Source organism: Homo sapiens, chromosome 10 (assembly GCF_000001405.40).
Source record: "Homo sapiens chromosome 10, GRCh38.p14 Primary Assembly".
Taxonomy (NCBI): Eukaryota; Metazoa; Chordata; class Mammalia; order Primates; family Hominidae; genus Homo; species Homo sapiens.
Genome location: NC_000010.11, coordinates 52,190,125 through 52,215,378, shown reverse-complemented (window position 1 = coordinate 52,215,378; position 25,254 = coordinate 52,190,125). Strand labels below are relative to the sequence as shown.

The 25,254-nt window shown below is 36.7% G+C and overlaps 1 protein-coding gene and 1 long non-coding RNA gene across 5 annotated transcripts in view, besides 3 other annotated features; one reads left to right on the top strand and one right to left on the bottom strand.

Annotated features, from left to right (window-relative positions):
• The window catches only part of LOC124902425 (uncharacterized), a 56,483-nt gene extending 38,139 nt beyond the window's left edge, over positions 1-18,344 (top strand). The window contains exon 2 of the long non-coding RNA XR_007062145.1: positions 17,660-18,344. This is a non-coding gene — a long non-coding RNA (uncharacterized LOC124902425). The remainder of the gene's footprint in view (positions 1-17,659) is intronic.
• The window catches only part of PRKG1 (protein kinase cGMP-dependent 1), a 1,307,463-nt gene that overhangs the window by 82,972 nt on the left and 1,199,237 nt on the right, over positions 1-25,254 (bottom strand). The window lies entirely within an intron of this gene.
• Positions 1,538-2,039: an enhancer, noted in NCBI's record as "NANOG hESC enhancer chr10:53973100-53973601 (GRCh37/hg19 assembly coordinates)". NCBI's record gives its function as "activates a minimal SCP1, AML or CMV promoter by ChIP-STARR-seq in primed H9 embryonic stem cells {active_cell/tissue: H9 hESC(primed)}" and the evidence as "EXISTENCE:reporter gene assay evidence [ECO:0000049][PMID:30033119]".
• Positions 1,616-1,910: a silencer, noted in NCBI's record as "tiled region #2630; HepG2 Repressive DNase matched - State 5:Enh". NCBI's record gives its function as "represses a minimal TATA promoter and a strong SV40 promoter by Sharpr-MPRA in HepG2 cells {active_cell/tissue: HepG2}" and the evidence as "EXISTENCE:reporter gene assay evidence [ECO:0000049][PMID:27701403]".
• Positions 9,950-10,464: an enhancer, noted in NCBI's record as "OCT4-NANOG hESC enhancer chr10:53964675-53965189 (GRCh37/hg19 assembly coordinates)". NCBI's record gives its function as "activates a minimal SCP1, AML or CMV promoter by ChIP-STARR-seq in naive H9 embryonic stem cells {active_cell/tissue: H9 hESC(naive)}" and the evidence as "EXISTENCE:reporter gene assay evidence [ECO:0000049][PMID:30033119]".

Below are 25,254 nucleotides of genomic sequence, written 5' to 3'. Positions count from 1 at the left end.
CTTGTCGCCCAGGCTGGAGTGCAATGGCCTGATCTTGACTCACTGCAACCTCCACCTTCCAGGTTCAAGAAATTCACCTGCCTCAGCCTCCCAAGTAGCTGGGATTACAGGTGCCCACCACCATGCCCGGCTAATTTTTGTATTTTAGTAGAGATGGGGTTTCACCACATTGGCCAGGCTGGTCTCAAACTCCTGACCTCAGGTGATCTGCCTGCCTCCACCTCCCAAAGTGTAGGGATTACAGGCATGAGCCACCATGCCTGGCCCAAAATAGACTTTGTATTTAGAATAATACATCTCTCCAAAATGGCATCTTCATGCTGGCATTTTTTTTTTTTTTTGAAAAAACTTTTATCATTATTTTAACATAAAAAATCATGTGAATTATTGCAGAAACTCTTAAAATGCATATTAAAGTTACATAATAAATAACCGTGACAATATTCAAAATGACCCACAAATTATAAAACCGGCCTACTGCTTTCATAGCAGAAACTGTTCCCTCAGTGAAAGGCCTCCTGATTGGTTACCTGCTCCATATCTTCTTCCTATTGTCTCTAGATTTAACTTTCCAAAGCACATAGTCATGTTAGCTGGGCTTTCCTCATTACATTTGTATCAAGTTGGAATTCCTTTGGGGGGCATTAATGGAACTTCGCTGTGTAATCTTTATCTGGCCTCTTTCTTCACAGCCACTCCTTTCAAACTTCATGCTCTAGTCTCATAGGGCTATTAAAGAATCCTTAAATGGTTTGTTTGTGAAGCCATAGCTACTATTTCTTTAGAAAATAAAAATAATTTCCAAGAGTAATTGTACTTACTGCATGCTAGCTACTACACAAAGTGCTATACATACATACTCTCAATCTCGCTCCAAAGTCTGAGATGTGTTTATCTATGACCTCCATCTTATAGGTAAGGAAATTGAATGTTAGTGCGGTGATGATTCCTTAGATGTCACTGTATGTGTGATATCAAAGTTTGTGCATCTAAATGACACCAGCATACTGTTCTCTGTTTGCATATTTTCATGCTGCTGTGGATTTTGGGCTAAATGAGAACAGTGAGAGATGTGCACCCAAGTTATATCCTGGTGGGTAATCTGAAATCTTATTACTTTCTTTTCTTCCAAGCAGAACCCTTACTTCCTCTATGCTACTGTTGCACTTTTGGGTGTCAGCAAGTTGGATACTTATGTATTCACACTCCTTTGTAGAGTAGGGGATCCTAGAGTTTGGGGAGGGTGTATATTCATCTCAGTGTCTTAATAACCCAGGAGAATGGCTGACATATTGGATGGGATCTGTAAATGAGGACTCTCCCATTTGCCAGACTGTGAAAAAAGTAGGCTTATTCCACATCGTAAATGCTCATCAAATTTTGAAACATATACATTTTATTTTCTAAAAAGGTATTTCTTGTAGATGTATTAAATGTATGTTTGGTTTTCCTTTTAAGATTTCTAGGCAGTGTTATTTGTAAATATCAAGGATGTGTTACGTTAGTATTATTTATAAGTTATTTATAATGGAGGCACTTAACATTTACATTTACATAGAGGTAGAATACAAAGTGAATTTCAAAAGACAGCTACCTAAAGGATTTGTCTCTGCTCTGTGGTTGGTGTGTTCTTTCACAGTAGCCACTGCCTCTCTTCCAGTCTCTCCCACTGCTGAGTCAGAGTCCTGCTCCATCTCTGTAGTGACTATCCCATTCCTGGAAGCCGGATGGCTCTACTAAGCTACTTAGTTGAACCCAGCTTCCTGCTCCCAATCCCCACAAGTCCAGTGAGATAAATGGCTCTTTTTTCCCTAATGAGCAACAAAGCACATCCTATGTCCCTGTCTGAACTGGTTCCAGCTAGGATTTCATGAATGCATTGCTGCTATGTTAAAATGGACTCTTCCTTATGTTGGTCACCAAGACTTTTTCCTTGAGCTTCACTAAAAAGAAGCTAAGATTTGCATTGAGTCTGCATGTTAGGACATAGTGTCATAAATAAGGTATGACGTTTCCATGACGAGTCTTAAATAAACCCATAACAAATTTTTTACCAAACAGATTCAGGTGAGATGTTTCCTGATTTTCTTCACATTTGAACACATTTGTTGCCAACTCAGTTTGTAAAGCTATCAAAAGTCAACTGAACTTCTTTTTTTCATTTTTTCCTGTTTTGTAAGAGTTTTATTTTTATTTTTATTTTTTTTATTATACTTTTAAGTTTTAAGGCCAGGACTAAACTTCTATTTCTTTGTGTCATAACATAGTGACTGACTTATATTCAGAGCCGAATTAATATATAACTACTTGAAAGTTTATTTGCTTTAAGTGCAAAAGTCAATTTCTTAGTGTGTAAACATTCATGTACGCAGTGGTTATCAGGACCACTGATATAAAGCACTTTGAGAGTTGCTGAACTTTCCCATGTATATCTAACTTGTTATGACAAAATCACTCTATGTTGAAATTCCTGTTCAATTTTCTTTTAGTGTTTTCACTGAAGGTAAATTTGACTTTTTAATAGGAAAAAGCTACAATCCCTTTGCGAAAAACAATATCTAACAGAAACCAAATCGAAACTTGGTTTTATTCCATAATCCAGTTAAAGCATAATAAAAAATGAAGCCAAAACGTGGATTGAGGTTACTGAAAAGATTTCTGTTGGAGAGAAAATGATCTATGGGTTTCATGCAATCAGAAAGATAATTCTGCCTTGTAACTAGTATTTCTCTTTTTTTTTAATCTCTCTCTCTCTCTCTCCCCTACACCACCCCTCTCCCCCCAACAGCCATATGGATGAAAAGATAGAAAAGCTACAGTATATGAGATGAGAAAGTATATGTTATCTTTTTAATTCTCTCTTTTTTAAAAAATCAAGGAACAGGGAAGAAAAATTCTCTTCTTGGAGGTGTTAAAGTTTGTGATGGTAGTTACATTAACAGTTTAGGAGGCAAGTGAATTACCAGTGTTAAATTAAGGTTAGCCTAAAGCTGCCTCCTTTCCTATTTTAAGTTCACCCTAAAGGTTTCTCCATACAGTGAACTGTAACCTAATGAGGTGTAAACAGACTGTAACCTACTTTTCTATCAGTCAGAGCGCTTAGGCCAATCACTGGTGGCCGATTGCTCAAACCTTCTCTGACTAAAGCAGATGCTGAGCTGTAACCAATCCAGCTGTTTCTGTACCTCACTACTGTTTTTTTGTACTTCATTTTCCTTTTTCAGTCCATAAATGTTATCCGACCATGTGGCAGCCCCAGAGTTGCTCTGAATTTATTCTAGTTCTGGGGGGTGCCCGATTTGCAAGTCTTTCTTGGCTCAATTAAATTCTGTTAAATTTGTCTAAAGTTTTTCTTTTAACAACAGTAATAAAAATGTTTTAACACCTAATAAAAAAGTTAATTTGCATTAAAACACACTACCAATGTTCAGGTAAGTGGTATTGAATTCATGTAACTTTAGAAATATAAGATTTATAGAAATCTTTTCATACAAGTTTTTTTTCTATTTTTTTTAAGTATAGAAACTGAATCTGGAGGGGTAGAATTGCCACAGATCACACAGTTATTAGCAGATCATTTAAGTGCATTCATATCTTCCACTTTCCGTAGTAACATTCATCACCCCCGTTACTTTACTAACCAATTATTGAATTACTTTTCTTTTTTTTTTTTTTTTTTACCAGGATAGGTATTTGTGTATTTTTTAAGTTACTTCATTTCAGAAGTTTTAATTAATATCCACATTTGTAATAAAGACAATTCAGTAGAACTGTCTCTCTGAATTAACTATATATTGTGAAAATCTATTGGTTTGGCCCAGGAAAATATCATTACTGTACCATCTGATAGTAGCAATTTCTAAACGCATGCATAATTCTTAAATAGAAATAAATAACCAAGTGACGGTTGAACTCGCAAACAAAACCTACAACCGGACAGCTGGTTATAGGCTGTCCTTGTTCATTGGATTATGAAGATTTAACCTTTTTAAGGGCAAAAATGCTTTTCTTTAAATAATTAGTTGCGAAAAATTTCTTGACTATGTCTCTACATATTTTCTGGATATAGTTAGAATACTGGGTAAAATATAATCTCTCCCTTGTATCAAAGACCTTGCAGTGCATCAGGGTCAACATGAATTCCTGTGGGGACTGTAGCCCAGGCAGAAAGTAAAGCAGAACATGATACGTGTATACAGATCCCAAGACAAAAACTACAAACTTTAAAAGAACAGACTATCCGATAACTGATTTGGATGATACTTGCTTCTTTCTCTTAAAAAGTGAAGTGTAGCAGGAAAAAGAAATCCAAGTAGAATTTCATTGCTTAGTATAGTAGCCGACACATGTTCAGTAAATGTTTACTATATAACTGATGGTGCCAGTTAGAGGTGCTATTTTATATGATGAATGTTTTGATGAAAAAGAAAATTAAAACTTAAACCTGAAGAAAATAAGTATATTGACTCATTGATGTATATATTTTTGATATGTACTTTTAAATGACAGCTTATGCAATTATGTTATGAATTCTTTGAAAGCAACTACCAAGGCTTTTGATCCTCTATAATTTGTACAGGGCTAACTCAGAAGGTACTTGATACATGTTTGCTGGATAAATGGACAGAAGAATGAGTGAGCCTCCTTATTGACCACTTAGAGTTTGATGAATTTAAATGACTGTATCAGAATTTGAATAAAATTAGCAGATATCTCTGAGATTTCATTTTTCTTTGTTTTATTCCATAAATGTTTATAGAAGACCAATATTTGCACACAGTGATGGAGGAGGCATGCTTATCTTTCTCCTGGAAGCTATATTCTAATAAAAATATAGAAATAAAGGCATTAACAAATAACCTACCGTGAGAATTGTTATAAAAGAAACGAGCAGAATTCTATGATTGCATAGGGTGTGAGTTTGTGGAAAATATTTTTTAAATGAGTGGTCAGGGAAGGCTTCTCTGAGGAAGTGACATTTACATTAAGAATCCAGTGACAGGAATAGGAGGGTGCAGCTGTGACGGTCCTGGAGAGGTTGGAGTGCATGAGAAACTAAAATAAGATCTAGTGGCCGAGACTTAACAAGCTTCAAACATAAGGCAGGCAAGGAGAGGCAGATAGCTTCTGCAAGACCTAAGAGATGACACGTTTTGATTTTATTCTAACAGCAATCCGTTTTAATTAGGAGAGTGACAATGATGATGACAATACTAATGATGATAGTAGCTACCATCTTATGGGCCCTAGTTCATCAAATAGGGATTGCAGAATAGGCATCATCTAAATGTTTAACATTAGCCATTTAATCTTCACATCAAATCAGAAGCATGGATAATTGCTCCTTCCATTTACAGAAGAGGAAATGGAATCTTAAGGTACCGCATTAACTTGGCTAAGATTGCAGCTAGTATGTGTACAATCATCAGATTTCTGATTTGCAAATGGTTACTCAAGATACGTTGCTAAAGATGGATTGTTGCTGAGGAGAGGGTCACAGGGAGGGGAGGTCAACTGGGAATTAACGTGGTGGTTCAGGTGAGAGAGAGTGTTGGTATGAATAGGTGGTGGCAGCCAGGGACTCCTAGAAGGAACAGGCATGCATATTTGCTGATGGATTTGAGATGGGTGATGAGGGAGAAGGGGATGGATGGTGCTGCCGCTTTGTGATATAGAGAAAATTAGAGGAGAAGCAGGTTTGAGGAAAATCAAGATTTCGGTTTTGGTAAAGTGTGAGCCTCATGAGATTATGACTTCTGGCAAAAAACATATGTCAAGAGCATAATATTTTTTGTGAAAAAAGGTTCTAAAACTCCTTTGATATTCTCAGTACTCTCCTCTTCACCTGCTCATCAATTCCCTGCAAAAACTATTAAATGAGGCCCTTGACATGAATACAATATTCTTTTGAAAGAATTGGTAATAGACAACTCAAGGTAAAATCCAGCCTGGGCCTATTTTATTTTGTGTGTGTGGCCAGTTTGCTAAGAATGATTATGACATTTTTAAATGGTTGGAAATAATATAAAAAGAAGTGTAATACTTTCTGACACATGAAAATTATATGTAATTCAGGTCTCAGGCTCCATAAATAAAGTTGTATTGAAACACAACCATTTCCATTTGTTTATATATTGCCTGTGACTGCTTCTGTACTACAACAACAGAGCTAAGTAGGTCTGGAGGGCTGAAAATATTCACTACAAAGCTCACTGCAGAAAAAGTTTATGGACCCCCTACTCCAGGGCAATATTCCTCTTAGTAAGAGAAGCTTAATGGCAACTTAGCAATAACATTTTTCTTTAGTTAGGATTTTACCCAAATATAATATAGTTAGAAATGTGCTGAAATCATTTTCTCGCTCTTAAGCATATTTTCTACATTATTAAAAATATTTCAGTGAAAACAAACAAAAAACATTTAGAGGCAAACTTTTAAAGACTTCTAAATAATAAAGTCTTAGTATTGTGTTTTGAAGTAGGCCAGTAATTTAGCTGTAGACAAACTTCATTAGAATATATCTACACATAAACTTATATACAACATAAATTATGTAGAATATATAAATTATAAAATAATAGTTAAAGAACAGGCTTTTAAAAGAATAATATAGCCAATATTTCATGACCAAATGGAAAAATTATTGCCTTTAGGGCAGAAATAATTTGCCATTTCACTTGTCATTGCCTTGAAGATCATCTTTCTACAATTTCCTTTCTCTTAATGGATACAGTGTTACTTGAAACTCCCAGTAGAACATTAATGGCGTGTAAGTGTCCTAGTGTTAGCTCTGAGTGGTTGTGAATTTGTTTCAGTTGTTCATAAGTGGATTTGGTAATGCTGATTTAAAGATGAACTCAGCTGTCTAAATATGCAGATGTATGATGCTGGAGGATTTTACGGTAAAGCATTTTACCATAATACTTCTGTGATGTGATAAATGTGATAGAGAAAAAGTATTTATGCTATACAGAATTGTTTGCAGAATAGGTCTTGTCAGTGCTTTTAAATTATGACAGGATCTAAAATATCATAGTTTATATGTTTCATAGCCCATGGTTAAGCTACCAACAGAAGATTCAGAAGCAGTTTTGAAAGGGATTGTTTTCCTTTTTGTCTTGAGTTCCTTTCATTTGTAACATAAGAAAGGAAGACTCACATTCAAAGTGATTCAAGAATATTCTCAGATTAAAAGCAAAGCTATAACAAGATCATAACTATGGTCACAAGACAGTGTGCTTAGGGTTAAAAAGACAAATTCTGGAGACAGATTGCTTCAAATCTTGACTCCACTGCTGCCTCACAGTGTAGCCTTCAACTCCACAGCTATCTGTGAAGTCATCTAATCTCTCTGAGCCTCAGATTCCTCACCTGGAAAATAGGATAATAGAGGTTGAGATGGAAGGGCGACCAAGAAGGACTACTAGATGCTGCCAGGAGGAATATCTCCCACTGAGAGACTTGAACATTGGGAAGACAGTCACACTCCAGGCAGATCTTCAGAGGGAAGGCATTGAGAGTGGAGAAGGGAGGATGCAGACACTGGGCTGAAGGGGGAGTAAGCTGGGAACCCTGCATGGGGCTGATGAGCAATGGGGCTCACTCCCGGCCCCCAGAGATCCCTGGGGAAGAGGTGAGTTGAACAGGTAAGGAGTGGTCTGCTCTTGCCATAGACCCCTGGAATCTCAGCTGCAGGAGATCCCACAACTCCCACAGACACTTAAGCTAGCAGGGATTGCTGCTTAGAGAGGTGGCAGGGGCAGTACTTCAGCCTATGTGGAGCTTCAAGGTTTGGTGCAGGAATGGCTGCTGTGGAGCACAGCCAGGGACGCTTATCACCCAAGGCTCACCATGTACTTCTAGGTGGCATTAGCCTTTGGTTGACTGTCAGAACTGAAGAAAGCAGGGTGGTCTTACTTGTGGGATGGGGCCAGTCTGATCTGAGTACCTGACTGTCTGCTGGCCTGTACTGGAGCTCCAGCCTGGCCATGCCCACTTTTAATGTAGCCTTGGATGCCCAACCAGGGTGCTTCCTGGAGGCCCTCATCATAGCTCCCTCACCAGCAGACTGAACCTGACCATCCGAGAGCCCTAGCAGACTAGCCTGCATACAGCCTCTCCACACAGCATCCTCCCGCTCCTGCTCTGCTAGCAGGCACTCACCTACAGCCTTCCCACTGTTTTTCCAGGGCATGCAAGTGCAAGTAGACCTCGCCTCCCCTCCCCTGCTGGCACACATGTGTGCATGCAACATGAGCACATTCCACAGCCCTGCTCCCAATGATGTGCAGTCTGCCACACTGCCACTACTGGGGTAAGTGTGCATGAATGCCATTGCAATGCCCCTGTTGGCATGAAGGCATCCCACCATGCCACCATCTGTGCAAATGCACACATGGACACTGCCAACCGACTTTTACCACCATTGTGCCCAAGCTGATGTGCAGACACCACACTGTGCCACTGCACTGTGGCTGCTGGCATGCAAAAGCCAGCACATGTAACTCTGCCACTGTTCTGATGAAGCACTTTGGTTGGCAACCCCCATCAGTGTTGTGGCCAGCAAAATGGAAACTCCTCAGCCTCTCCAGTGCAGCAGGTTCCTAACCTCCAGGGGAGACAGGATAGAACTGGGGCCCAGTACCAGCCCTCTAGCATTAAATCACACAGTCCAGGAGTGTTTGGGCTGAGCCCTGGCCCCTGAAATCTTCCAAAAATGAAGCCAGTCAACTGAAACCATCTTATACCACGATTAAATGCCAGGGTTTGAGGGCATCAAAGAATATAAAAGCAAAACACCCCATCTAAAGGACAGCAACTTCAAAGATTAAGGAACATCACCTTCCACAGTTGAGAAAGAACCAGTGCAAGTACTCTGGCAACTCAAAAAGCCAGAATGTCTTCTTACCTCCAAACAACTGCACTAGTTCCCAAGCAATGGTTCTTAACCAGGCTAAAATGGCTGAAATGACAGACATAGAATTCAGAATATAGAGAGGAGTGAAGATCATGGAGATTCAAGAGAAAGACAAAACCCAATCCAAGGAATCTAAGGAATACAATAAAACAATATAGGAGCTGAAAGAGGAAATGGCCATTTAGAGAAAGAAACAAACTGATCTGATGGAGCTGAAGGACACACTACAGGAATTTCATAATGCGATAACAAATATTAACAGCAGAATAGACCAAGCTGAGACAAAAAAATATCTCAGAGCTGGAAGACTGGTTCTCTGAATTAACTGTCAAACAAAAATAAAGAAAAAAAGAATTAAAAAGAATGAACAAATATGGGATAATGTAAAGAGATCAAATCTATGACTCATTGGAATCCCTGAAAGAGAGGGAGAGAAAGCAAGCAACTTGCAAGGCATATTAGAGGAAATCATTCATGGCAATTTCTCCAACCTCAACAGAGAGGTCAACATTCAAATTCAGGAAATGGAGAGAATCCCTGAAAGATACTATACAAGATGACCATCCCCAATGCACATAGTCATCAGACACTCCAAGGTTGACATGAAAGAAAAAAAAAATTTTAAGCAGCTAGAGAGAAGGAACAGATCACCTACAAAAGGAATCCCATCAGGCTAAAGGCAGAACTTTCAGCAGAAATCCCACAGTTCAGAAGACACTGGTTACCTATAGTAAACATTCTTAAAGAAAAGAAATTCCAACAAAGATTTTTCATATCTAGCCAAACAAACCTTCATAAAAGAAGGAGAAATAAAATCCTTTTCAGACTAGCAGATGCTAAAGAAATTTGTTACTAGCAGACCTGCCTTACAAGAGGTTCTTAAGGAAATGCTAAAATTAAAAAAAGACCATTACCAGCCACCAAAAAAACACACTTTTAAAGTACATAGACCATTGACATTATTACTGGGGGAACTCACCCCCAATAATTCAACGTGGGTTCTTTTCTGTTTCCCTAAGTGTTGGCTGGTCTGAGAAATAAAGGGAAAGAGTAAAAGAGAGAAAGTTTTAAAACTGGGTGTCCAGGGGACACATCACATATCGGCAGGTTCTGTGATGCCCCCTGAGCCATAAAACCAGCAAGTTTTTATTAGCAATTTTCAAAGGGGAGGGAGTGTACGAATAGGGTGTGGGTCACAGAGGTCATATGCTTCAAGGGAGACAAAAGATCACAAGGCAGAAGGTCAGGGAGAAACTAGAATCACTAATGAACTTCCACGTCCTGCTGTGCACGCATTGTCAGGGTTCAAGAGCAGAGAACTAGTCTGACTAGAATTCACCAGGCTGGAATTTCCTAATCCTAGCAAACCTGGGGGCGCTGCAGGAGATTAGGGCGTGTTTCATCCCTATCTACATCTGCATAAGGCAGACACTCCCAGGGCAGCCATTTTAGAAGCCCTGCCCTGGGAATGCATTCTTTTCCCAGGGCTGTTAATTATTAATATTCCTTATTTGGGAGAGAATTCAGTGATATTTCTCTTACCCGTTTTCGGTAATAAGAGAAATATGGCTCTGTCCTGCCCAGCCAACGGGCAGCCAGACTTTATCTCCCTTGTTCCCTGAAAACCACTGTTATCCTGTTCTTAAGGTGCCCAGATTTCCTATTGTTCAAACACACATGCTCTATAAAAAATTTGTGCAGTTTATCACAATTTGCGTGCACAATTTGTGCATGCAATCATCACAGGGTCCCAAGGCAACATACATCCTCAGTTTACAAAGATGATGGGATTAAGAGATTAAAGTAAAGACCGGCATAGGAAATCACAAGAGTATTGATTGGGGAAGTGATAAATGTCCATGAAATCTTCACAATTTATGTTCAGACACTGCAGTAAAGACAGGCGTAAGAAATTATAAAAGTATTAATTTGGGGTACTAATAAATGTCCATGAAATCTTCACAATTTATGGTCTTCTGCCATGGCTTCAGCCAGTCCCTCCATTCGGGGTCCCTGACTTCCCACAACGCATTATAAAGCAACTACAAAATCAAGTCTGCATAACAACCAGCTAACAGTTGGGTGCAGTGGCTCACACCTGTAATCCTAGCACTTTGGGAGGCCGAGGTGGGCAGATCATCTGAGGTCAGGAGTTTGAGACCAGCCTGGCCAACATGGTCTCTACTAAAAATAAAAAATTAGCTAGGCAAGTGGCACATGCCTGTAATCTCAGCTACCCAGGAGGCTGAGGCAGAATTGCTGGAACCTGGGAGGTGGAGGCTGCAGTAAGCCGAGATTATGCCACTGCACTCCAGCCTGGGCAACAGAGCAAGAGTCCATCTCAAAAACAAAAAATAATAATAATAATAATAATAATAATAATAATAACCAGCGAACAACATGGTGACAGGATCAAATCCACACATATTAATATTAACCTTGAATGTAAACAGGCTAAATGCCACAATGAAGAGGCACCAAGCGACAGGTTGCACACAGAAGCAAGACCCAACTGTATGCTGTCTTCAAGTGACCCATCTCACATGCAATGACTCTCATTGGCTCAAAGTAAAGGGATGGAGAAAAATCTACCAAGTAAATGAAAAACAAAACAAAACAAAAGCATGGGTTGCTATTCTAACTTCAGACAAAACAGACTTTAATCCGACAATGATAAATAAAGGCAAAGAAGGGCATTATATAATGGTAAAATGTTCAATTCAATAAGAAGACTTAACTCTCCTAAATATACATGCATCCAATGCATGAGCAGCTAGATTCATAAAACAAGTTCTTAGAGACCTACAAAGAAACAGGTAACCACACAATAATAGTGGGAGACTTCTACACACCACTTGTTAGATAGATCATTGAGGCAGAAAACTAACAAAGATATTCGGGACCTGAACTCAACCCTTGACGAAATAAACCTAACAGACATCTACCTATAGAACACTTCACCCCAAAACATCAGAATCTACATTAGTCTCATCTGCATATGGCACATACTCTAAAATTGACTACATAGTTGACCATAAAATAATTCTCAACAAATTTTAAAAAAATGAAATTATATCCACCACACTCTCAGACCATAATGCAATAAAAATAGAAATCAATACTAAGAAGATCACTTAAAACCATACAATTACATGGAAATTAAACAACATGCTCCTGATTTACTTTGGGTTAAACAATGAAATTAAGGCAGAAATCAAGGAATTATTTGAAACTAATGAGAACAAAGATACAGTATACCAGAATCACAGAGACACAGCTAAAGCAGGGTTAAAAGGAGAGTTTACAGCACTAAATGGCCACATTAAAAAGTTAGAAGGTCACAAATTAACAACCTAACATCACATCTAGAGGAACTAGATAAACAAGAGCAAAGCAACCCCAAAGCTAGCAGAAGACAAGGAATAACCAAAATCAGAGCTGAACTGAAGAAAACTGAGATGTGAAAAACCATATAAAGATCAATAAAACCAGAAGTTAGTTCTTTGAAAGAATAAATAAGAATGATAGACCACTAGCTAGAGAAAAGAGAGAGAAGATCCAAATAAACACAATCAGAAATGATAAAGGGGACAATGCCACTGACTCCACAAAAATACAAAAACCTCAGAGACTATTATAACACCTCTATGCAAACAAACTAGAAAAGCTACAAGAAATGGATAAACTCTTGGAAACTTACCACTTCTCAAGATTGAATGAGGAAGATACCGAAACCCTAAACAGGTCATAATATATTCCAAAATTAAATCAGTAATAAAAAGCCCATTAACCAAAAAAAAAAGCCCAGGTGGATTGACAGTCAAATTCTATAAGATATATAAAGAAGAAGTGGTACCATTCCTGTGGAAACTATTCCAAAGAATTGAGGAGGAGGGACTGTTCCCTAACTCATTCTATGGGGCTAGCATCATTCTGATACCAAAATCTAGCAGAGACACAACCAAAAAAGAAATCACCAGGCCAATATCCTTGATGAACATAGATGTAAAAATTTTCAACAAAATACCAGCAGCACATCAAAAAGCTAATCCACCATGATCAAGTAGGCTTTATCACGGGGATGCAAGGATAGTTCAGTATATACAAATCAATAAATGTGATTCATCACATAAGTGGAATTAAAAACGAAAACCATAAGACCTTATCAGTAGATGCCAAAAAGGATTTTTGATAAAATTCAATATCCCTTCATGTTAAAAACCCTTGACAAACCAGGCATTGAAGGAACATACTTCAAAATAATAAAAGCCACCTATGACAGCATCTTAAAGAATAAGCCAAACCTGGAAGCATTCCCCTTGAGAACTGGAACAAGACAAAGATGCTAATTCTCACCACTCCTATTCAACATAGTACTGGAATTCATAGCCAGAGCAGTCAGGCAAGAAAAAAAAAATGAAAGGCATCCAAATAGGAAGAGAGGAAGTCAAACTATCTCTGTTTGCAGACAATATGATTTTACGTCTATAAAACTTCATAGTCTCTACCTGAAAGCTCCTAGATCTGAAAAACAACTTCAGCAAAGTTTCAGGACACAAAATCAATGCACATATATCAGTTGCATTTCTATAACAACAACATTCAAGCTGAGTGCCAAATCAAGAATGCAATCCCATTCACAGTAGCCACCCACACAAAAAATAAAATACCTAGGAATACATCTAGTCAGGGAGGTGAAAGATCTCTACAAAGTGAATTACACAACACTGCCGAAAGAAATCACAGATGACATAAAGAAATGAAAAAATATTACATGCTCATAAATAGGCAGAATTAATATTATTAAAATGGCCATACTGCCTAAAGCAATTTGCAGATTCGGTATTATTACTATCAAACTACCAATGATATTCTTCACAGCATTAGGAAAAAAACTATTCTAAAATTCATGTGGAGCCAAAAAAAGCCCAGTAGCTACATCAATCCTAAGCAAAAAGAACAAACTTAGAAGCATTACAGTACTTGACTTCAAACTATACTACAGGATCCAGTAACCAAAACAGCATGGTGCTAGTACAAAAACAGACAAATAAACAAATAGAATGGAATAAAAGCCCAGAAATAAAGCTGCACACCTATAAACATTTGATCTTCGACAACGTGAATGTAAACAATCAATGGAGAAAGGACTCTATATTTAATAAATAGTGCTGGAATAACTGGCTAGCTATATGCAGATGATTGAAACTGTACCCCTTCCTTATACTATATACAAAAATCAACTCAAGATGGATTAAATACTTAAATGCAAAGCATGGAAGTATGAAAACCTTTGAAGATAACCTAGGAAATACCATTCTGGACATAGGCACTGGCAAAGATTTCATAACGAAGGCACCAAAAGTAATTGCAACAAAAACAAAAGCTGGCAAATGGGACGTAATTCAACTAAAGAGTTTCTGCAAAGCAAAAGAAACTATCAATAGAGTAAACAGATAACCTACAGAATGGAAGAAAATATTTGCAAACTATACATCTAACAAAGAGCTAATATCTAGAATCTATAAGGAATTTAAACAAATTAACAAGTAAAATACAACCTCATTAAACAGTGGGCAAAGGACATGACCAGATACTTTTCAAAAGAGACATGCATGCAGCCAACAAGCATAAGAAAAAAATGCTCAACATCATTAATTATTAGAGAAATGCAAATCTAAATCACAATGAGATATCATTTCACACGAGTCAGAATGGCTATTACTAAAAAGTCAAAAAATAACATGCTGGTGAGGTTGTGGTGAAAAGGGAACACTTACACGCTGCTAGTGGGAATGTTAATTAGTTAAGCCATTGCTGAAAGCAGTCTGATAATTTCTCAAAGAACTTAAAGCAGAACTACTGTTCAACCCAGAAATCCATTATTGAGTATATACCCAAAGGAATATAAATTGTTCTACCATAAAGACATATGCACACATATGATCACAGCAGCACCATTCACAATAGCAAAGACATGGAACCAACCTAAATGCCTGTCAATGGTAAACTGGATAAAGAAAATGTGGTATGTATACACTATGGAATATTATGCAGCCATAAAAAGAATGAGATCATGTCCTTTGCAACAGCAAAGATAGAGCTGGAGGCCATTATCCTAAGCGAACTAAGGCAGGAACAGAAAACCAAATACTGCCTGTTATCATTTATAAGTAGCAGCTAAACACCAAGTATACATGAACACCAAGAAGGGAACAATAGACACCAGGGCCTGTTTGATAGTGGAGGGTGGGACGAGGGTGAGGATTGCAAAACTGTCTGTTAGATACTATGGTTATTACTTGGGTGATGAAATAATTTGTACATCAAACGCCCACAATCCAATTTACCTACATAACAAACTTGCACATGTACTCCCGCAACTAAAAGTTAAAAACAAACAAAATATAACAAAAACAAGAAAATGAGGATAATAATAATGAGGAGACCCTAACTCAAGGGATTAAATGAAAGAATAGAAATAAAATGCTTAGCTCAGTGCCTGGCACAAACCAAGTGTTCAATTCCAACAAATTGTCCTGAAAAGGTATATTCATTAGTCCACATTACTCTTTCATGATCTTATAAATTTTACAAAGCTTTTAGGGATGTGTAGGAGAAAGAGTTGGTAACTGCTCCACTGGTTGTCCTAGCACAAATACTTTGCTGCTTCCCAAGGTCTGCATCCTTAAAAAGGACCTGCGGAATCTCCCTTATGCATGTGAGGTACGTTTATTTGGAGGGAGAAATATCTGCACTGGGGTCACGGAGTAAATCCAGGGAGGGGGCTTTGGGTTGGGAAATTCGAGAAGTTCCCAGTATTTCATAACCTCTTCCTGTAGGGCTCCGGCAAAGCTGAACCTCTTATTTATGGAAGCGTTAGGTCTCAGCATGAAGATCTCTGCAGATAATAGTTATGAGAAGATAGTGAATACATTCTTTGGGAATTTTCCCTAAAATATAAACAAACACAGTTATTCCATGGGTAATGCTGAGAGTGGTCAGTGGCCTTTTGGAATTTTCTAACCCAGGGCAGCCAATTTAGGAGGTCTGGTTAGAATACATAGCAAGTATGATCTTTGAGTGAAGATGTGTTTGATTCAGGGGGATGTGGAGTTCAGCAATTTCTACTGGTTTTCTTTTTCTCTCCAAGAGAACAAGGAGAATCTTCACTCATCTATGAGTGGAGGATAATACGATAGGGAGGATAATACATTAAGTACCTAGTAGTCTTTAAAAGAAATGCCTAGGTCAAAATGTCAGGGTTAGAAGGTGAGGAAAGATACCTGAAAACTTTAAAGAATATGCTCTCTACATTGAGCCTAGGAAGAAAAACCTTACATTGAAACAGAATCGGGAAAAAAAAAGAAAGAGCAAGGATGGTTGGAATCCAATCTCATCCTTCATCAAATGTCATCTTGGGTGTGTTCAAAGTAGCATTCTCTGCAGTCTGAAAGGCAAAAGTGGCCATGATACGCAGTGCTAACATAGCCAGTTAACTTCTCTGTGGCAGTCTGAAAAATGGTTCCCCAAAGATGGTCCTAATTCCTGGAACCTGTAAATAGACCCTAAATACTATCTCAAGTATGCTTAAGAAAAGGAAACAGAGTGAGCTTACACACACATGCACACACACACACACACACACTCACACCCCAAAAGGAAAGGTAAAGACAGAGATAAAGATTGGAGTGACGCAACCACAAACCACGGAATGCCAGTAGCCACCAGAATCTGAAGAGGAGAGAACTTGATTCTCCTCCAGAACCTACAGAAGAAGTGTGCTTCTGATATCTTGATTGGGCCCTGTGACAGGAATGTAGGAATTCTGGGCTCCAGACGTGTGAGAGAATAAATTTCTGTTATTTTAAACCACCCATTTTGTGGCAATTTGTCACATTAATCACAGAAAACTAATATAATGTCATTACTACTTTTATTATCATTCTAATTATTATAGTTTTTCCTGATTCTATTTGCTCATTGTTTCTTCCTTCCTGAAGTCATTCTCGGCCATTACAAAATTACTATTTTTCCTTTCTCTTGAGTTAGATTACACTGCGTATGCCATTGTAAACACAATTTCTTTGGCTCAATTACAGGATGCTAAGTCATAAAAACTATGTCTATCAGTCACCAATGAAGTTCTCAAACAAATTATTTCTTTCCACAGAACAAATATTTATCAAACTGCATGCCAATTAAGTCAAGTAATTATACCCTTAAGAGATGCAATTTTCAAATTTAGTTTCTCGAAACCATATACTACAGATGTTCAACTTTTAATGAGTATCTATGTGGAAAACGATGAAGAAGCTCAGTCACACAAATACATTAGGCAAAATATAATAAACTATTTGAACATTTATAACATTGTGTTTGTATTTTTCTGTCAGCATTATGTGAATAGAATCATACTCAAAGATGAACTGCCATGAGTAATGAAATAATGCTACTTTGTGTCCTCCCAGTGGGTAAAAGGGAGCTCTGAGACATTCCTCTGTGCACCATATTGTAAATCAACTGCTTCACTGCTCTAAATGGTACCCTAGTGACCAGAAAAGGCATATTAAACATCCCAGAGTACCTGTCACTAGCAGGAAGAAGTTTTGTACTTGTACTATATTTCATCCATGAATATAGTAATATTCAAAAGCCATATTTCTTAAGTCTCCATAAAGTCTGGTATTAAGATGACTAAGTCCACATCTCTAGAATAACTAAGAGTTTCCTCTTCTACAGAATGAAGGAGCTGGACTTGGAGATCTCTCTCACCTCTGAAGTTGTGTAAGTGAAGTATACTGACCCAGTGTGACCACGCTGCTATTCGAAGACTTACTCAAAGTTTTCAAACAGACTAACCATGTGGGACTGTGATTTAGCAAGGAAAACAGCCAGAATAAACATGTCAGTGTCTCCGTTTTATGGTGGCTTCATGTGCAGCATTGTGACCTATACCTCGGAGTTTTTCTTATACCAGATGAAGCTTGTTCTATAGTCTTCACAAGGACATAACACTTGTCATAAGTAAATGTTTCTATTCTCTTGATATCATTCCGATTATATCAAAACGTGCTTTGAAACAACAAGCAGTAGAATCACTTGGTATAATCTTGTCCTCAGTTGACATGTTTACTTATTTTTATCCAGCCTATGTTTGAAGTCCAACATGAGCTCATTTCTCATGCTGGGGTGGAATGTATGAAGGGATCCAATTCTTTTGCATCTTTAGAGATTATCTCATGAAGCAAGGTTCAATTTAGAACTCTGAGATCTAACACTGATTACTTAACTTTACGAGGAAATACACAAAAAAATCTGAATGTCCAGACAAAAGCTGGAAAAAAAAACTTATCTGTATCTGCTTCATCCTTTATAAAATGGAAACCTACAAGTGTTTTCCTAATAAAATTGTAGTGAACCTGCACAAAGTGAGCATCTCCATCACATTTGCTATTACTATTGTGGCTACTATTATTATTATTGCCTAAAGTATTGTCTAAGATGAACACAGATTTAGAGATACTGCTACACTAAATAGCACTTTCTACTATTTAGTTAATGTCTATATCATAATTAGTATACAATCATAGTAGATTTATTCAGCATGACACTATCATAATAACTTATTTCAAAGAGGTTTTGAAATATGGATTTTATAATATAAAATATTTTGAGAATCCTTCACCCAGGGAAGTTTTATTTATATAATTATTATCTACTTCTAATAGATCCTATCTGCCCACAAATCCCCAATAATACCAGCTCTACTTCTGCTGCAGTATAATGCTGCATTAGCAAGTTCACCTCTAATTTACTAGCTAACACACACCCTGGAGTCTCCTTAGATAATTCCCAAACCTCCTGCTTTCATCTAACCAAAATGAGTATCTTTCGTTGTTGGTAAATATATGAGTTTCAGACGACTACGGTGCAAGCTGGTGAGCCTTGCTTTTCTAATTTATGTTTTAATTAATTTCCTTTCCAACTTGCTCCATTTTGTGCATTCTTTTCCTCTCATGTGTTTGCAATACTTCCCAGGGAATAACACCTACATTTTGAATTATAGATTTCTTGAATGCATCTTTTAGGTAATTAAGGTGTTAACAAAGACAAGACTCAAGTATGATCCTTAAAGAATTTCTTGGCCTGGCGCGGTGGCTCACGCCTGTAATCCCAGGACTTTGGGAGGCTGAGGAGGGCGGATCATGAGGTCAGGAGATCGAGACCATCCTGGCTAACATGGTGAAACCCCGTCTCTACTAAAAAATACCAAAAAAAATTAGCCAGGCGTGGTGGCGGGTGCCTGTAGTCCCAGCTACTCGGGGGGCTGAGGTGGGAGAATGGCATGAACCCAGGAGGCGGAGCTTGCAGTGAGCCGAGATCGTGCCACTGCACTCCAACCTGGGCAACAGAGCGAGACTCCATCTCAGGAAAAAAAAACAAAAAACAAAAAACATTTTTTTGCATGTTTAATCAACCATTACACACATCACTAATTGGGATCAATTTCCATTTTTTCAGTTCTCATTTGAACCATGAAAATCATAGGGTTAGACTTTTTCCTGACTATATCCAATTCATATATTTTAACACAAAATGTTCTTGGCAAATATCTGACTATAAGTTTTTGATTTAAATGATTCCATTAGGATAATTAATCCATAAATATAATTAATTCAAAATTGATAAAAATATTTAATTAAAATTAAAAACTGATTGTCATTCGGACACTCTAAAATTTGAAGTCAGTAAGAATGGGCTTAAAAATGTGAGGTATTACTTATAAGTGATCACTAAAGTAAATAAAAATTAACAAATTTAAAAGCCTTAGCTTAATTTTGAAGAGTTGTAAATAAGAATGGCAGGTTTTTAAAAACACGCTTGTGTTTTGCAATCTTCCAGTAATATAATGAACCCAGCACACATTGATAAACTCTATCTGTATTTATAGGTTGAAAAGAAGATCAAGAAGTTTAGACAGAGACTTGGATCATCAACCAATTCTAATTCTGCTACTTAGAGAAAAATCCAACTAACAAAATTATTAGGACCAACATCACTAAGAATGCTGGTTGATATCTTATGCATGCTCTTTGATTATAGATATAGTTTTGGTTAATAAATATATAAAATGGGTAGCTATGCTCAAAAGCAACACCTTCATTTTGGTGCTAGTTGTCTTCTAAACAAACTAATATTATTCGAGCTAAAGAGAAAAAAAAAAACAAAAACAGGAAACATGAAAAGCAGTGGCATTAAACCAGCTCACTTTGAGTTTTCTGGACATTCCATTTTGCATACATCTCTCTTTCCATTTTCATTTATATAGGAGTTATGCCAAAAACACTAGTTTACCAAATGATGTGATCTATTTCTTTCTCATCACAAAACCATCTAAACATTCATTTCAGTAAAATATCTCTCAGGCATTTAACTTAAGTGTTAAACTGGTACTTTCTCAGAGTTCAATTTGAGGTGGATAAGACCATAGTAATTCAATACAGCAAGTGTCACTGTAAGGGAAGCCCTCAGGTGGTCTCCCTAATTATTTCATACTAATTAGCTCAGATAGTAAAAGGTTCTGTTTTATTACCTTGATGCAAGTGGCTGATGCTTTGGGACAGTTAATTGTGCTACATTTCATTTTTTAAATGAAAATGTCATTACCTGGATATAGCTTTTTATTGTGCTTTAATATTGTCAATAGGTAAAACATTACAGGAAAAAAGATTATTTTTCAAATTTCTTAGCATTGATAGCTAAATTGAAATTTACTTTCTATTTTTTAAATATTGAACTTCATTGATCAAACACTGTTCTGGTATTTAGCTTCACATTGTTAAAACCAGAGACAAAGGCCACATAAACGGAAACTTTAGCGAGAAAACATTAGCTGTGTTTTACCTTACATGGTGAATATGTATTTAATTTTCTCTTCACTACTTAAATAACTCAAATACTAATTCCAGGGTGCTTTTTAAGTTCTTACTAATCCTAAGTATTTAGTTCTGTGATCATTTTTATCTTTGAATAACAGTCATCATTCTCCCTTCCTGCATTGTCATAACCGTCATGTTTCCATGGAAACTGTGGAGAAAGAATAAAATGGTAAAACACCTCCATTTAGGTCTAAGTTGACAGGGTTGTTTTTTATTAGGAGCTTCAATTATTTAGACAGATAAGAATATGTGCAGTGGCCTAATAAATGATATAGAATAATAGTCGATCTTCAAAAACAGGAAATTATGTTTCCAGCTAATAGAACTTAGCAATTTCTGTTAAGAACTAGTTATTGGTGGTGAGTCTTGGGGGTGTTTTGTTTTCTTCTTTATTTTTTATTGTACTGTTTGAATTTTCTGTTATCATGTAAAATAAAACAACAAAATAAAAAATCTTTAAAAAGAACTAGTTATTTATTACATTCTTAATACATACATTTTGATCTTTACCAAATATAAGAGACAAAATAGCTACCTTTTAGATAGACATTTAAAATAGAAAAATAATTATTCAATGCACATAAAGGGATTTAGAGAAATCTTATAAAATCTACTTGGAGTTTCGTCCAAATTATTGTTTACTTCCCACATTCTGCTCCTCTAAAAATCATACATTTTAAAAAAGCAACCAATTTTAACTTAAATACAAGTTAATTGTATTTGAATCTCTGAAGGGATCCAGAGGAAACTGGTTATAGTACTTGCTTCTAAAAAGGAAGATTTGCCTTTTGCTTTCTTTGTATATGTTTTAAGTTATTTGTTGATGTTGTTTGTTAAACAAGGTAGTTATTACTTACTTGAAATGTAGGCTGTCCTTTGAAATAAAGATCCTAGTTAATAAAAATCCACAGTGTTAAATGACATTTGGAATAGTTTTTTTTTTGTTTTTTTTTTTTGTTTTTTTTTTTTTTGAGACAGAGTCTCACTCTTTTTGTTCAGGCTGGAGTGCACTAGTGCAATCTCAGCTCACTGCAACCTCCACCTCCTGGGTTCAAGCGATTCTCCTGCCTCAGCCTCCCAAGTAGCTAGTATTACAGGCACCTGCCACCATGCGTGGCTAATTTTTTTGTATTTTTAGTAGAGATGGAGTTTCACCATGTTTGGCCAGGCTGGTCTCAAACTCCTGACCTCAGGTGATCCACCCGTCTCTGCTTCCCAAAGTGCTGGGATTACAGGCATGAACCACTGCGCCCGGCCCGACATTTAGAATAGTTCTAAGATGTTTGAGTCAAATGGTTAAGTAAAATGTATAGGTTTTCAGAGAGAAAAAAGCTTCCTGTTGCTTTTCCCACAATGGACAATTTCTAAGGTGCCATATTTTTCCTTTAATATTTCCTCTATGAAGATTGAGATTTGGGCAAATGGCTGAGAAAACTAGAGCCTTTGTTGCTCTAGGAGAACTCAGTAGCAGTCACTCTTAACTACTGCACTTCCTGCCAACTAAAAATATTATAGGCCAAAGGGAAGAGACCCCAGCAATGAAATTAAGGTCTTAACAAAGACGAAAATTAATAGAAGTAGAGTGACATGGATATTGTAAAGCCTTTTGCCTCAACTGTCTTACATGGAAATTGCTTGGGTGAAAAAAAAATCTACAGCTTACTATGTTTTTTAAAACTCACAAATGAGGTTTCTATCTCCTTAAATTCTAATATAAGAAAGGAATTTCTAATGCAAACTAAGTTATACATCCAAACAAATATATATTTTTTTTCTTTTTATATAAATACTTAATATCTTAGAAAGTTACCAATTCTGTGGAGGCTGTGATATTTATTGATATCTGGAAAAAGATTAATTCAATTAGTTGCATAAGCAAAGTTCTTATCCTTGACTTCCTCCTAAAATAATAAAAAGTCCCTTTGACTTTATGAACATAGGTGGAAATTGAGAATATCAATCTAAAACGCTTGATGAAAAATTCTTTCTTGAAGAATCATACATGTAGTTTGTAACTTAATATGCTACTCCCTTAGAATAAAATGGGAATACTGCAAGATTAGGTAGAGCATACTGTGAGTTAAATAATATATTTATTTTAAAAAATTATTATCTGAACTTCTTCCTCCTAAAAATGTCTAGAAACAAAGAAAGCCAATAGCAGTGACCATACTTACTTAGTACCATTTCTGGCTAAAAGAAATAAGGGTTACTTGAGAAATGGCTGATCTTAGGTCCAGGGGAGGAAATGTACATGAAAAACCTTGGGCATCTTACTGTCTAGAAAACAAGGGAGTTACTGGCAACTAACAGGCTGTATCAAGAAGAAACAAGGAACCAACCTAAAGAGGCTCCCAGAAAGAAATTGACTCAACATATTGAATATATAAAAATCCACAAATTCATAATACCAAAAAATGTGGAAAAAATTTAAATGTGCAAAATTTTAAAAATCTGATTTGTCACCAAAAGCACCAATTGGTGCTCCAATTACTTACTCTGAAAATTGATAATTAATAGGAAAGAATAAACAGCATTTATCATGCTTGTCTTGAATGAATGAGGATAAACAGTATATCAGATTCCTAACTGATATGGGAAAAGCTTTTCAGAGAAGAATTCCAATTAATAGATGGAATAAATACAAAGAAAAAAATAAATTGGATAATAATTCTATTAAAAACCTAATGAGATAGCTGATTCAGGCAATCATCATCATTGTGTACTAAAACATTTAACAAAATATTGATTGAAAACTTTGTAGGAAAAGGATTACATTGTTATCTCTTAATTCACTGATCCAACTTCATGTAGCTGCAAGTGAAATGACCAAGCACTATTGGCCTTTTATTATAATCTAATATTGAAGTTTAATAAACCTCCTACGAAATCTTCTTGCCCAAAAAGTAGAAAACAAGTCTAATCAATCATGTAGGTTTAATGAACCTTTACAAAGGCTATCAAGAGGAACGTAGATGATTAAAAAGCAATAGGATAATCTGGAAGAGTGGATTTACACCAGGACAAATGATTCAGTTTCTTTAACAACCCAGGCCATGTTCAGTGGCTCATGCCTGTAATCCCAGCACTTTGGGAGGCCAAGGCGGGTGGATTGCTTGAGACCAGAAGTTTGAAAACAGCCTAGGCAACATGGCAAAACCCCATCTCTGTAAGAAAAAAAAAAAAAAAATAGCTGGAGCATGGCTCCTGCCACTCCTGCTGTGTTCCTGCCCTCCCAGCTACTCGGCAGGTGGGAGAATGATACCTTGAGCCCAGTAGGTCTAGGCTGCAGTGAGCATGATCAGGACACTGCACTCCAGCCTTGGCGACAGAGCGAGACTGTCTCAACAAAACAAAATGCCTAATAGGACTATCGTAGGGTAGGGAGACTCCTCTAGATTAAAGGAGGCCTAAAGAGACATAACCAACATACAGTGTATGCAGATTCTTTTGATCCTGAATCAAACAAATCAACTTTAAAAGCGAGGTGTTTGAGAAAATTGAGGAAAATTGAAAAATGACTACTCATTTTGTTAAGTGTGATAATAATATTGTGATTATGTAGGAAAGTGTCAGTAGTTTTAGAAGATACATATAGAAGGATGTATTTGGGAGGAAATAATATGATCTTTCACTGGTTTGTTTTAAAATATATCAGTAAATTTTTTTTTAAAGAACTCGACAAAGCAGTTGTGGCAAAAGGTTGGTAAATGTTGAATCTTAAGGGAAGGGGTCCATTGCACCACTTTCTCTGCTTGACAATTTTCATAATAACAAGGTTTACAAAAGTATCTTATGCAAACATACATGTGAAACAGTTAAGTATCTAAAAGTGCACAAATGGGCTTTGGCAATAGACATCTGGTAGTCAGAGTTAATCTCCACTGTACCATTTACAAGTTGTGTGACATAGACTTAAACCTCCATAGGCCTCAATTTCTGAATCTGTAAAATCAGGTAAAATAAGAATATTTTTCTAATAGAGTTGTTAGGATTAAATCAGGTAATTCATGCTTGACACGTACTAAGGGCCCAACAAGTGTTACCCATTATTGTCATTATCACCATATTCATATTTATTAAAAATGTAAGTAAAATGGGACTATGTTTTATTTAACAGAATTTTAACCTTTAACAAAATGCTTTTGAATGCATTTGTCTGCCTCATTAATAATAATGTATTCTGTTTTAACAGAATACATTTGAATTTTCCATATTCTTTGGGATTTGTGTCATTTCAATTACTTGAGCATTTTAATTACTGGTATTTATTTTGTAAAAGTTGTAGAGCTCAATTGTCAATTTTGAAAGAATGAAGTACTGAATACACATAAAATTTCATTCTATTGCTTAAAAATTTATGGGCTCCTGATGATTTTCCTCCTCCTCACTGTT